This window comes from Homo sapiens, chromosome 4 (assembly GCF_000001405.40).
Source record: "Homo sapiens chromosome 4, GRCh38.p14 Primary Assembly".
Lineage (NCBI taxonomy): Eukaryota > Metazoa > Chordata > Mammalia > Primates > Hominidae > Homo > Homo sapiens.
The window spans coordinates 21,749,920-21,765,357 of NC_000004.12; the positions used below are offsets into that span (position 1 = coordinate 21,749,920).

Here is a 15,438-nt window from a genome sequence, read left to right on the forward strand (position 1 = left end):
AGCTATACAGTAGTTACCACTTATCTGCAATTTTGCTTTCCGTGGTTCCAGTTACCAGCTGTCAATGGTGGTCTGAAAATATTAAATAGAAAATTCCAGAAATAAACCATTTGTAAGTTTTATATCACACGCCCTTCAGAGTGGAATGATGAAATCTTGTGCCCATCCTCCTCCCTCTCTCCAGGGATATGAATCCTCCTTTTGTCCTGGGTTTCCACATTGTAGACGCTGCCTGCCCATGAATCACTTTGTAGCCACTGGTGATCAGATCTACTGTCTCAGTATTACAGGGCTTATGTTCAAGAAACCCTTTATTTTATTTAGCAGTGGCCCAAAGCACAAGAGTAGTGATGCTGGCATTTCAAACATGCCAAAAAGAAGCTGTAAAATGCTTCCTTAAAGTGAAAAGGTAAAAGTTCTAAACTTAATAAAGAACACAAAAACTTATGCTGAGGTAGCTAAAGTCTACGGTAAGAACACATCTTCTATCCACGAAACTGGAGTGACACCAGCATTTCCAGTTCCCTCAAATATGCCTCCGCAGCTCTAGGTCTGATGCTAGGTTGGGAATGAGGGTGTAGTGATTGAGCTTGATGATGGTTTGACTAACAAGTAAATGAAACATGAACATCCTTTGAGGAAAGTGGCTAATTATAAACATATTTTGAAAACAAGTGCTACCATTTATTCAGCATTTACTAGGACCAAGAATTAAGTAGTTTTTATATATATCATCCTAATCTAATTCTAGGCACCTGTAAGTTCAAACCATGTGATTGCCCTGAGAAGACTAATAATCTATTGCCCTTACAAACTGTATTTTCCAGGTGCTCAACAGTTATTTCGCGGAGAAGCTGTGGGCTGGAGAATGGGAAGGTGGAGAAGGTAGGCTACTAATGTGAGCATTCCATTTCTCCTACATGGCTTCAAACAATTCAGCCCTGGCCCCAAACACACAACTCCATTAGGCAACATAAAAGCCCTACAGTTAAGTGGGTTTGCCGCACCTCCTAGCTAGATAAGACTGCAATCATCTATATTTACTTAAGACTGTCCATTTGTAGGAAGTAGGGGGTCCTACTGTAGGACGTAGGGGGTGTCTTGATTATTTAGGCCTTGCAAAAAATGAATTGAGCCTGATCTCATGGAAATTCTACAGAGGTAGGTAGGGAAGAGGAGACTGGGTGAAGACATCTGGAGGAAGCTCTCAGCCAAATCCAAAGACCAAACATCCCCTTTCTCAAACAAATCAATGACTTGAATAAAAAGGAGGCAGAGCTAGTGTTACACATTTAAAGAGACTTGGAAAACATAACAGCAAATACCATATAAAGACTTTGTTTGGATTGTATGCAAACAAACACACAATTAAAAAACTTCTTGAGACAATTGAGGCAATGCAAATATGGATATATGAACTGAATCTTAAATTGCATTAAAGGATTATTATTAATTGTGTTAGGTGTTATGACATGGTGTTTATGTATATACACATTCTTATCATTTGGACATGTATATTCAAGAATCTGCAGGAGAAAAGCATTATGTCTAATATTCATTTTAAAATATGACCTCCTCAAATAAATTAATGGATGGAACAAGATTTGAAAATTGCTGACAATTGTTGAAGCTAGGTAAAGGGTGCATAAGCTCTATTGTACTATTCAGTTTCTTTTGTTTGCGTTTGAAATTTTCATAATAACAAGCTTTACAAAAAGCAAATGCATTGATTCTTTTTATCTCAAAAAGAGACATTTGTGCCTGCCAGGTAATGTGTCCAAGTTTTAGAAATGTAACTGGAATGCTCAGATCAATTTACATTTATATGAAATCACAACTGGGTTGAACACAGGTAGAGAAAAGGCAAGCAGAGCCAAGAAGAAAAGGCTTAGGGAGGATGAGTATTAAAACAACATCTGATGGAACAATCAATAATTATGTGCATAGCCACAATATGAAAGAAGTGAATGAACTCCAAGGAAAAGAAGTTCAAATAAAAAGGTAGCAAAACTAATAGAAACTGTCTTTCTACTGTTCTGCAGGTGGTATAAACACCCTCCTCCTTCAAGACGCATCAAAAGTTATAGATCAGCGCTGCCTTTTCCAGCTCCCCAAGGCTGTTAGCTGCTCTCTCATATGAGATTCCACAAAGCTTTGTTCATACTTTTCTGTTTTTCTCCACTTTATAAGGGAAGAGATGTTGACTAGCACCTGCCTTGGAAGGTGATATATGTATACGCTTAAGAAATAGTGGAAGGAATGGATGCATGGTCTATTTGTCCATTTTCACACTGCTATAAAGAAATATCAGAGACTGGGTAATTTATAAAAGAAAAAGGTTTAATTGACTCACATTTCTGCATGGCTGAGGGGGGCGCCTCAGGAAACTTACAATCATGGTGAAAGGCAAAGGGCAAGCAAGCTTGTACCTTCTCACATGTCAGTAGGAAAGAGAGAGTGAGCAAGCAAAGGGGGAAGAGCCCCTTGTAAAACCATCAGATCTCATGAGAGCTCACTTCACTACCAGGAGAACAGCATGGGGCACACTACCCCCGTAATCCAACCACCTCCCACCAGGTCTCTCCCTCAACACCTGGGGATTCCAATTCCAGATGAGATTTTGGTGGGAACACAAAGCCTAACCATATCACATGGGTACTAGAGGAAGAAAAAAAAGGGAGGGATGGAAGACAAAGAAAAATTCTATTCTTTCCTGGGAAGAAAAATTCTGAGGTCAGAGGGTTGGGACTGATATTTAAGAAAGACTTCCTGTAAATAATCCCAAACCAAGTAGAATCAGATGCTGCCTTTCTTTAGGAGCCTGCTACTAGGATTTTGTTTTGTTTTGTTATAGCTAGGCTAAATCCCACCCATTCTCTTTTGTGCAAGCAATTCACCAAATATGCCAGGCTGGAGACAGTTGAGATTTTTTATCTCTTGCTGAGAAAAGAAATTTTTCATTGAGCTATCACATGCACAGTTATTTTTATTTGACTCTCAGTTGAGATACCCCTGCTGCATAGCATATTGAATACTTTATTGACCATAAAATGTGCTGCTGCAATTAGAGGGTTTTTTTTTATCTTTTTTTCCAAGCATTGTGCCTTTCTGGGGGCACTTGGAAGCTCATTTCTGTTTATCAGTTTTTCAAGGATGTTTGCAATTTAGCAACAGTGAATTGGAAGTTCAGTTAAATATCTGGCATGTTTGAGTGAGTGTTTCCAAGATCTGCAATTAAGCAGGGCAGGGTAAAGTGTAGTGAGGCTCCTCATGCATAATCTGCAAAGGTTTTTCACACTATCTGAGGTCTTAGAGAAAAAAAATGTTCACTAAGTAAATCAGGAGCAAATTCACTTAAGAGACTGCTTTGTAAATCATTCAGCTTTGTCAGGCAATCTCTGGGTGCACTAAGTGCTGGCTATCTTTGGGCTATTTTAGAGGCCATCACCTCTATTGGGTATCACCAAGTAAAACAGCACAGACCTCATGGAAGATACCATGTTTAAATAGCATGAGTTTTCAGATCTCATGCCTCAGGCAGAGTTTGGAACCAGGAGCTGAGGACACTATTAGTTGAATGAATGAATAAAAGAAAAGAGAATTCTTCCTGGTCTCTAAAAAAATATGCCCTAGGTTACTTCCAGTAAGCCAACAGCAAATCAGAATGGAATGTGTGAGTTGCAGCAGGACTGGCAGCTCATGCAGGTTAAATGTCCTGTTGTGCATTTCCCTCCATGTACCCTCACTGGGTTAGTAGGGAAGCCCGGACTCGTCTTCGAATCTCAAGCCATGACCTGTGCTATTTCTGTAGATTTCATAGCTGCTGTCAAGAAAACTTTTTATTGAAGCATCATGCCTTTTGTGAAACTATAGTCAAGCCCATGCCCAAAAGCCATCTAGGTCTAGACCTCTGATGACATTCTGATGAGGTGGAGCAGGTGACTGCTACCGTGGAGATTCCTGTTCCACTCTCAGCTTCTTCTCTCCATCTACTGACCCCCTCCTCCTACTATCCCCACCAGGAAATAGACAGACTCCAAGAGCTACAGCTTAGTTGTACTGAGAACCTAACAGGCATTGTGCATGCTTGTGATGCACCAACGAATGAGACAGAAGTGTGCCCTCCTTAGGGAGCTCGAATTCTAGTGATTTAAAATAAGCCTGCAGTAAGGGCTCGCATCTCTCCACAGCAGCCATCTTACAAAGCATTGTACCTTCAATTTGGTTTTCTGTGTCGTTTTTTTCTTAATTCGCTCAATAAAATTTATTTCAGGTTTCTGCTCAACTGTCACTTTACAATGGAAAGTTCTCCTTCTAAAAAATATCCATCTCCAACTACCACCACTCCACACCCACCTCTCTCTACCTTGCTTTATTTGTCTATACAGCCCTTACCACTACCGGACCAAGCTTATTTATTTATTAGTTTTTCTGTGTGTTTTTCCTTGCTAGAATATAAAGTGTTTCAGGGCAGCCAACTTGGTTAATTCATTGCTGAGTATCTGGCTTATTATAGGAGATGAATACATATTTGTTGAATTAATTAATGCATAAATAACCATAAGCAATAGGTATGACCATTATTCCTGTTTTTCAAATGGGAAATTCACACTTAAGGAGGATAAGAAATTTGCCTAAAGTCACCCAATACATAAGCAGTGAAACTAGGGCTCAGACCAGGTCTTCTGGAGCAGAAAGCCTGGCCTCTTGATCATTACTCTAAATTGTCCCACTTCAAATAATCATTTCTTTAACATGTCTAATAGTAGAAGCTTCCCTAAACTGTCAACTCTAGGATGGGATGAAGACACTGAATAGAAGAAATGCCACTAAACAACATATAAAGATAAAAATACAAAACTACAAACGTAATTCTGAAAAACTTCAGAATAAAATTTAGGACAGTTTTATCTTGTGCAGAGTTAACATAAAAATATGTGCTTTTGGGCCGGGCACAGTGGCTCATATCTGTAATCCAGCATTTTTGGAGGCCGAGGTGGGCGGATCACCTGAGGTCAGGAGTTCAAGACCACCCTGGCCAACATGGAGAAACCCTGTCTCTACTAAAAATACAAAAATTAGCCAGGCATGGTCATGTGTGCCTGTAATCCCAGCTACTCGGGAGGCTGAGGCAGGAGAATTGCTTGCTTGAATCCCAGAGGCAGAGGTAGCAGATGGCGCCACTTCACTCCAGTGGAGACAGAGCAAGACACCGTCTCAAAAAGAAATAGAAAGAAAGAACATGGAAAGAATAAAAGCTTTAGAGTCGAGCATGGATAGGCTGTCTCTGCCAGTAGTTATTCATTCACCTTCTCAACCTCAACTTTCATATCTATAAGGTAGGGCTGAGGCCTACCCACCAAGGTGGTTGGCAGAAGGAAATTAGATAATAAATGTAACGTTTCTGGCAAAACTTTAAGTTAAATGAATGACTCATTTAGTTACTTACTCTAATAAGTCCTAAGCAAATGGACAAATAAAATTAGGTTTCAGTTATGCATCTATTAATGCCTAAAAACAGCAGCGCTGCACATCACAAAGGAACAGGCAGACTTACCCCCGGGGCAACTGAAACTGAAGGACAAGGGGCTAGTGACAGTCAGGAACAATGGTCCCTAATCCCAGGGAAGATGTATTAAATGTGTTTACTTGCTGTTGCTCATACCAATCAATTGATCAGGCTGTGGAAGGAGGTATAGTGGCACCCATACATTTATTTAGACATAACTAATGGACTTCCCAAGCATGGATAGAGAAGCCACTTAACTGGTCAAATATCTGGAAGAAAAAAAACCTGTAGTTAATCAAATATCTTTAATAAAAGTATTGGTAACATTCTGCCCATATTCATCAAACACTTGGTATTAATATTGTTTTCAAAAAAAAGTGACTGATGTTCTAGCTCAGATGTGGTCTTACATATTTAGTTTGTCACAATTTCTATAGTTGCTGATAGGGCAGTAATGATCTTTTCTTGTGTTATGGTTGTATTGATATAATAAATTGCATTTTCCCTTAGATTTTATTAGAAACTATAAATGGCTCTATCACCTCTGAAACAACATAAGTCACGCAACACATTTTTAATTTTATCAGCCCAACTCCTTTTTTAGAATCAGAATATTTGCTTGAAAACTGAAAAGTTTTAGTCTCCCTAAAGAAATATCAACTGATACTTTATAGCTAAAAACATGGATTTTTATTTCTCTTTTTCTTTCCCAATTCCTAAAGAAATGCAGATACATTTCTCCTTGTTCTATTTGGCCAGTTTAGATCTTTAGATGGTTTTAGTCTTCGTATGTTTGTTTACGTGCTGGTTTTAAAATAGTTGAAGTATTATAAGAAATATCTGTTGGCCGGGCACAGTGGCTTACGCCTGTAATCCCACCACTTTGGGAGGCTGAGGCGGGCAGGTCACGAGGTCATGAGACAGAGTCCAGCCTGGCCAACATGATGAAACCCCATGTCTACTAAAAATACAAAAATTATCCGGGTATGGTGGTGTGTGCCTGTAATCTCAGCTACTCTGGAGGCTGAGGTACGAGAATTGCTTGAACCCAGGAGGCGGAGGTTGCAGTGAGCCAAGATTGCACCACTGCACTCCAGCCTGGCGACAGAGCAAGACTCTGTCTCAAAAAAAAAAAAAAAAAGAGAGAGAGAGAGAAATATCTATCAACTGCAGCCTCTCTCTTTCTCAGATGGAAGAAGTCCAAATGTATATTAGCTTAGTAACTATGTAACCACTTTAAAAGGGGCACAAATCTACCTTGATATCTCTGAATTACTTCTGAAATTATTTATCCTGAAAGAAAAATCAATGAACACTCCTGAAATTTGCCACTTGTCATTTCATGATATTGAAAAGCAAATGTAAAACTCGCTTTTAGAGAAAATAGGCCAGGCGCAGTGGCTCACGCCTGTAATCCCAGCACTTTGGGAAGCTGAGGTAGGCAGATCTCTTGAGGACAGAAGTTCAAGACCAGCCTGGCCATGATGTGAAATCCCTATCTCCACTAAAAATACAAAAATTAGCCAGGTGTGGTAGCAGGCACCTGTAATCACAGCTACTTGGGAGGCTGAGGCAGCAGAATCGCTTGAACCTGGGAGGTGGAGGTTGCAGTGAGCTGAGATCCAGCCAGCCACTGCACTCCAGCCTGAGCAACAGAGTCCTGTCTCAAAAAAAGAAAGAAAGAAAGAAAGAAAGAAAGAAAGAAAGAAAGAAAGAAAGAAAGAAAGAAAGAAAGAAAGAAGGAAGGAAGGAAGGAAGGAAGGAAGGAAGGAAAGAAAGAAAGAAAGAAAGAAAGAAAGAAAGAAAGAAAGAAAGAAAGAAAAGAAAAGAAAAGAAAAGAAAAGAAAAGAAAAGAAAAGAGAAAAGAAAAGAAAAGAGAAAAGAAAGAAAGAAACTATCATAAAATCATTCAGGATACCTCTTTGTGTGGGTTAGATCTCTGACAACAGAGAACGTAAGCTCACATGTGGGTTTGGACTAAATAATGATCAAGTATCTATGTTCAGATATTATCTGTCCCAAGAGAGCACTTAGCAAAAGAATCACAATATTTATCATGATGTAATGCCTCCTCTCTATATGCAATTTGAAAATGCTGGTTAGGAAATACATGGCTGAGAATGCTATTTTTCTTTTTTAGAGACGTCTTCACCATTTATTACAGATTGAGCCAGAGACTTGGAATCAACAGTCCTGAGTTTATATTCTGGCTTTACCAATTTCTAGCAACAAAAATATCATTTATTTGAACTTCCTTTTTTGCCCTTGTAAAGTAGAACTGGTGATGCCTGCCACCCAATCTATGACCCCATTCAATAAGTGTTCATTGAATTTAAATCTTGTCTACAAAGTTAGCGATGAAGCCACATAAATGACGTCTTGGGAAAATCAACCAATGAAAAGATAGAACTGTTCAGAACTTTTTGTAGCCACAGGTGAGCTGAGTATTGGGTGTAAGAGTATAGTCCATGCAGATGAAAAGACATGCGTTGGTGTGTGACTCCTAACTACTAGGTTTGTGTCCTTATGCAAGTAATTTGACCTTAGTATGCCTTATTTTTCACATCTGCAAAATGGGTATGACAATAAGACCAACTCCCTAATTTTACTGTAAGAAATAAATTTAGAAAATGCATACTTACTGCAAAGAAAGGAACACAGGAAACCAGTCAATAAAAATTGTTGCTATTGATATTTATAATAAAAACAATAAGCGAAATCATTCATTCAATTAAAGTTTTGGGGTGCAATTTGTGTCCTATATACTGTTCTAGGTACTGGGGATACAGAGGTGAATAAAACCAACAACCTCTCTGTTCTCATGAAACTATGTCTGGTAAAGAATAGACAAGGCAATGTCAATGCTCTGAAGACAATAAAACAAAATAATGTGAATAGAGTAACTGAAGATGTGTGTATGGTTTTGTGGGAGAGTGCATGTTTGGAAAGTGCCTTAAAAACAGGGTGACCCCCACATGTCTCTTTGAGGAAGTAAGGTTTGAGCTTCGACCTGCACCCTGTGCAGACTTTCTGCAGGACTTTGGCACATGCTTACTCAAGATGCATTTTCACTTCCTGCAATCCATCATTTCTCTAAACCCATGTAATAAATGGGATTCAGATTTTAATAGGCATACTTTGTTCTTTGTAACAAAAGGGACATCCACAGTTGCATAAGTGGTGAATCCATCTTGGTCTTTGGAATTAGAGATTCCCAGCCATAAGACTTATTGGGTGGGTGATAGTGGACTCATTATCTAGGCACCCTAAGCCTTACTTATCCCATCTGTAAAACAGCCATGAAACAAAGCCATATATGGGCTGCTTCTGCCAGAGTCTGTGATGCAGAAGAGAACCTCCAAATGGTAATTATTGTCACTATCAGCAGTAGAGAAATATCCTGGTTAAAACCTCCACTGCCCACTTGCAATGTGACCTTGGGTAAGATGTGTGACTTCTCTGAGCCTCAGTGTACTAATGTGTAAGATAAGGATAATAATAACAATAATAATAATAATAATACCTACTTATCAAGTTTGTGTGAGAAATTAACTGAGTTGTAGAAACCACTTTGAATGGGTTCTGGCAAAGAGCAAACTCAATAAGTGCTCCTTGTTAGTATTACTCATGACATTGACATCATGAATTACTACTCACAGGCTCATAGACCACTGTGAGAGAAAAGATCATTGACTTAGAAATATGTTGAACTAAGCTGTTCCCATGAAAATCTTCCCTAATAGAACAATTATGTGAACCATTTTTTATCTTCTGGAGATTTTAATATATTGATTAAATGTGTCAACACAGTGATATGATCAGTGAATAGGAACACTTGCTTTGTATAATTTTGCCCATTTTGATTGCTCTTTTAATTTATGCATTTCTTAAAATTGAGTTCAATTATCACCACATGCCTCTTCAATCAACATTGGCTGCATTTCATGTGTCCTTAACAAATCACAAAAGTAATTTGAACTTATTGCCAAGTGAAAAAGAAATGAACATCTTCAACTGAATATTCTTGGTTTTACCATATAGCAGGACATAGAAATCTTTGTAGTCAAAGAATCCTAGAACCTAAGAACAGTAATCATGCTACTTTTCATAGACATCAGAAATTGATCAGGACATTTTTTATTCTTTAACTGACCCTGAATATGTCTTTGACCCTGAGATCTGGGAAGTCATTTCTATACTGAGGTGTGGAAGAGGAGACCTATTAACCTGGTATCAGCTTCTCAATTCCGACCTGACTTCAGGGCAGTCTGAAGTCTTCATAAATTTATTTTGCTGAGGTCACACAGCAGTAGACCTGGAATGACAACCTACGTTCCAAAATTCTCATGGCCATTATCTTGCCACCTGTCCTTGTAAACTGCTATTAAATTCCTGTCTAAACATGGCTGTGGATACAGGAGGAACGGAATTATAACACAAGTCAAAGTCCTCATTTTTCACCTCTGCTTGAATTTAATATACTGCTCCTTTAGATTTCTGCTCTCAATGTCTTTGCTCTTCTTTCTATTTTCATTGACATAAATATTCTGTTATAGCTAACTGATAAAGAAAGAACTACAGGTCTCCAACTACTCTATTCAGCTGCTCTCATATTCAAGAACAGCATCCTACAAATAGAAATATTGAATATAAATATGAACAATGATGTTCTCACCCATAATGTTGCCGTGCAGCTCAATTACTCATGGTTTTCTTTGCTGAAAACTTATCTCCCTTGCTACTCCTTCCCCTCAAAGCTTCCTTTCTTAACATTTAACTTCCAGAGCCTAAACTTAACTAAGCTCAGGTACTAGAATCTAGTGGTTCCATGAATGACTGCAAATCTTGAGTGCTCTGCTGATGCTAATAATAAAGCATGTCAGCACAAGAAAAACCCTGGTAATAACCATGCCAAGAAAATGAGGGAAAACGCCCAATCCCACGCCTACAAATTCATGCTGCTAATTATTAACAATGAAAAACTTGGCTTAAATTCAACCTTCAATTAGATACATGTTCATGTTTTTATTAAAGTAAAATTCTAAATTTGTTCAATAAAACAGGCAAATTATGGGTTTTAGAGACTGACTTTATTAAAATATTTGTGTTCTATTGGCAGCATGGCAATGTGAAATGCAGAATTCGGAACCCCAGGGCCTGACTTCTAGGCCTTTTCTGAATCAATCTGAATACACAAGTAGCTCCATGGCTGTTTTCTCCTCTGTAAATCAAGTACATAATCAATTACAGAGGATTAGAAATCCTCTCTAAATTTCTGTCAAGTATTAAAAAGCTAAAATTTTAAATATTTCTATTATTTATAGCTTTGCAAAGCAAACAAATTGCTTAAGGGTAGCCACAGAATGGTCATGGATGCCATTTCCACTATTTTCCATCCACACTCCCAATGCATTCTATAGCAAGACCAGCATGGAATGACCAAAACATATCTTAATAAGCTAAGTGTATTCATTTAACAGATATTCATTCACCAACTACTACATGGCAGGCACTGTTCTAGGTGCTTATGAGTCTGATATTTTGCTCATATGAGAAAGAACTTATAAATCTCATAAAATTAAATAACGTTTTGCACTTGTAAAAACTGACTATAAGAATAGGTTGAAAGGAGAGTGTGTACCTCTCCTTTAATTATGTACTTTATTAAGAACATCCTCTAATAATTTTTTGAGAGATGAGTCTCACTCTGTTGCCCAGGCTGGAGTGCTGTAGCATGATCATAACTCACTATAGCCTCAAACTCCTGAGTTCAAGTGATCCACCTGCCACAGCTTCTCAAGTAGCTGGTACTACAAGACCTATCTATAACCTTTTCAACAATATAACTTCTAAATTGAACCCTGGTGGTTACTAAGGTGTGATAGACAGTCCTTCTTTGTGTACTTTTTTGTAAATGCCCATCTGAGGCCTGTTTGATGAAGAAATTCAAATAATCTAAAATTTGGAGAAAAAATAATGAATTATTTGTAATTATTCAAAATTTGATTAAATCTATAAGGCCAGTAGCAGAGAAAAATAACATATTCACTCAGTTGAACACTATACAGACATTACAATGACCTCTCTCTCTTTTTTTTACAACCATCTTATAACTAAATTTAAAACATACAATTCTTATGTTCACATAAAAATAATTAAAATGCAATATATAATATTAACATAAATTTGTAAAACAAGTACAAAAAAGCAAAAAAAAACTCTCAAAATAAATATACCACAATATTAAAAGTGTTTCTTATAACAAAATTAATTTTTAATTATTTCTTCCATATTTATTTTTTCCAAATTTACTCCTATAGAGGAAGAGAGGGGAAAATTGTATTGTTTAACAACATTAAAAAAAAATTCCTTACTTTGCAAATTGCAAATGACCTAAATGTCTAAATGGCTAAATGATGCGGAACAGGAAGTCCTAGTTATACACACAACTCAACACTTCCATGATGGGATAATTATGATAACATCCAAGGTGGCTATACAAATATCATGATTTGAGAAAAATATTTAATGAAATAATTTTAAATGTGAAAAATCATATTATAAATCACTATACACTATATTATCATATAATCCCCAATATGACTAGTGGAAATATTACAATGACACTTTCTAACAAAAATATAATATGTGCCACATATGTAATTTTATTTTTCTAGTAGCCACATTTTAAAAAGTAATATGTGCCACATATATAATTTTATTTTTCAATTAGCCACATTTTATAAAGTAAAAAGAAACAGGTGAAATTAAATTTAATAATATATTCAACTCAATATATTCAAAATATTATTTCAACATGCAATCAACATAAAAAATTATTCATGATCTACTTCACATTATTATTTTACCACACATCCCAATTTGGACCAGTTACATTTCAGGTGCTCGTTAGCCATATGTGGCTTGTGACTACCCTAAAGGACAGCATTGCATTGAAATGAAACAAAGAAGATTAGAAATTGTTGTCTTTTCTCATTATGTTTTTCCCATTTCTTATGTGCAAGTTTCCTTATTTTATATTTTCCCCATTGCCTAGTACACTGCTAGGCTCAATAAATCTGGGCTGCCTTTAACTTATAAAATACTAACAAAATTAATTTTGAGCAGAACTGGTTGCTGTTAGTTAGACGAATCTCAGGAAAAAAGCCAAGGGTACTGTTCCTCATCTGCAAACATAAAACAAACCAGCAAGGACACCACTCTTATTTTATTCTTTAGTGTTAAAGCCAACCATCATAACCAAAGATGGCATCTACAAGACAACATTTAAACACTTTACCAGCGTCATTAGTGGGCTGGGTCAACGAGACTCTTCCACGAGTCATCAAAACCATCTTCCAGTCATGACTCTTCTTTATCTGAATAAATGTTCACATGAAGAATGTGTATATATAAGTGTGAGAAAGGAAAGGAGAATCCCAGAAGATTGGGAGGGGGGTGTAGGTGGATGGAATTGGAGGGAAGGACTCACATGATGATCTGACAGGTGCTCCCACTTCCGAAGTCTCCCTCTGGGACCACTGGGTGTAAGTCTTCTTGTCAAGGACAGCACTTGGTACACAGCGAATGCTCAATAACCGCTTCTAGATTGAATGGACATATGCACAGTTTGCCTAATTTCCTCGTCAGGACACTCAGGAATGCATTCCTAACAACGAGCACAGGTTCACCAGACAATAATTCCTTCACTGTGGTTGAATTCACACAAACAAAATGTGAAGAACATTGCCCAGATTATCATTTTAAATATAGCTGCAGTCTGCGTGTCATAAGAAACAAAGCCCACGGCTGTGCATTCCTCTAACACAATAGGCACATGCCATCCGGTGCTTATTACACACAAGGTGCTGGTGATTATGGTTATATACATAGAGACAAAACGGGCAACTAGCTTAGCCTAGTTATAACTAACAAATACACTTGGCTTTATCTCTTTCCATAATGAAGGTTTAATCATTCCTTTCTTTTTCTTTTACTGAATAAAAAGAACTGGATAGAATTTTGAACATGATTCTACTGGCTAATAAAAACAACAATGTCTTCAGAAGTGTGGAGAAAAGCCTTAGCTAGTATTAAAGGGTAAATGTGCCATTCTAGAGTGTCTTCTGAGAGCCAGGGCATTAGCTGGCAATGGTAGGTATATAATAGCTTGGGTCTGTCCCCTGAGCTGGTTAACCTTGAGCAAGTTATTTCTCTTTTCTGAATCTCAACTTTCTCAGCAAAAGGAAATAAAGAAAACCCAGCACAGTTATTCTGAGGATTAAATAACATAAGTAGAATGCTTCTTCCACTGTATATGCTAAATTTTTCATTTCAGTCTTGTTATATACATCTTCCTTTTTGTTGAAAAATGAATGTGACAAAAGCAAGAAAAACAATCACTGATTTATCTGAAATTGTAAAAATTCTCAGGTTTGCTTGTTATGCTTTGAAAAAGGAACCCTCAGCCAACACACAGAATTTGGAAGCAGCCTGGGAGTTTTAATAGGTTTGCTAGGAAATGGGTTTCAGTGCCAGGAACTCCAGATCACAAGAAAATTTATGCAATTAGATCATTTGGTCTAAATGTGATTATGTATTTTAGTAATGAACAGTATGGTAAAGCCAGAACAATAGAAGGAAAGCAGTAAGAAGAAATTCAATTTAGTATAGAAGCTTCAGAGACCTGCAGAAAGGGAAATCATATATGCATGATAAGCAGGCATTTTCCATAATGGCTGGAGATAACAAGTAAATGATTTCAGACAATTGCGTGGAGGATACAGAGGGTACAGACTGGCAATTCTCAGAATGTGGCCATAACACCAGCCAGGGAGACAAACTTTGAAGTTCAGAACAGAAAAGGTAAAGATGTTAGAGGTGGTAGTACTGAGTCAGTGCCAATTAATGTGCAAAGTTTGCAACTCAGAAGAGAAATAAGAAAAGTCCAACCAGAAAGTTCATAAATGAGCTAGTTCAACTTGGAGAGAAAGTGGAAGAAGAGTGAGCCTTGGGCTATATCATGACACTGGGGCATTTGTTTTCAATGAAATATTTATATAAAAATGAAACAAGGTGTGTCATATTGGTACCCATAGTTGGTGATGATTAATTATGTCTGGTCAGGATCAGAAACCGGACTATATAAACCACTGCCAGCTAATGCATGTCTCCCAGAAGACATGAGAGGGTGGTGATGGCTTTGCTCTTTAATACTGGACTTTTGCTCCACATCCCTGGAAGGAATGGGCCATAGGGAGGCTTAGAAATCTTTTCTGCCCTTTCCACCAAGGGCTCAGATGAGAGCAAGACTAAGGGACCTACTTCCCTGTCCTTTTTTGCTTGTCTGCTATCCTTTGTGCTCCTTAGGACTGGGAAGTCCTCAGGCCTCCTCCAACCCCCAGACTAGCTGGAGGGGAGATGTGGAGTGTACAGGCATTGAAGAGAGGTGTTTGAAGAGTCAGGAGAAGAAGATTTTCCATGGAAGTTCAATTCATAAGCCCTTTGCTCTTCTCATTAAAAGCTGTGTATTGGAGGAGAGGCTCTATGAGACCCATATCACAGCCATGTCAACTTGGGATGGAGCCTAGTGTTTCCTCCCCAAATTAAATTGAGCTACTCTCAGGGAGTATACACTGTGGCTACAACAGTCAAATAATAATAATATTAGTACGAATTTAAAATGGGAAGTGCAATGGCTTTTTGTCATTGTTTTATTATGAAGAGAACCTTTTTTTTTTTTTCCGAGACAGAGTCTTGCTCTGTCACCCAGGCTGGAATGGAGTGATGCGATCTCAGCTTACTGCAACCTCGACCTCCGGGGCTCAAGTGATCCTCCCATCTCAGCATCCCAAGTATCTAGGGCAGAATCTAATCCTTTTTGTTTTATTGGGCCACTGGAGTGGTCTTATTAACTATGTTAATGGTAC

The 15,438-nt window shown here is 37.8% G+C and overlaps 1 protein-coding gene across 3 annotated transcripts in view; it reads right to left on the minus strand.

The window, feature by feature from the left end:
* Nucleotides 1-15,438, minus strand: part of KCNIP4 (potassium voltage-gated channel interacting protein 4) — a 1,220,167-nt gene that overhangs the window by 1,021,314 nt on the left and 183,415 nt on the right. Inside the window, exon 2 of one of the 3 annotated variants that reach the window (NM_147182.4) lies at nt 13,002-13,113. The exons of the other annotated variants lie outside the window; for them this stretch is intronic. The gene's annotated coding sequence lies outside the window, so the exon portion shown is untranslated. The remainder of the gene's footprint in view (nt 1-13,001; nt 13,114-15,438) is intronic. 3 annotated transcript variants of the gene reach the window in all.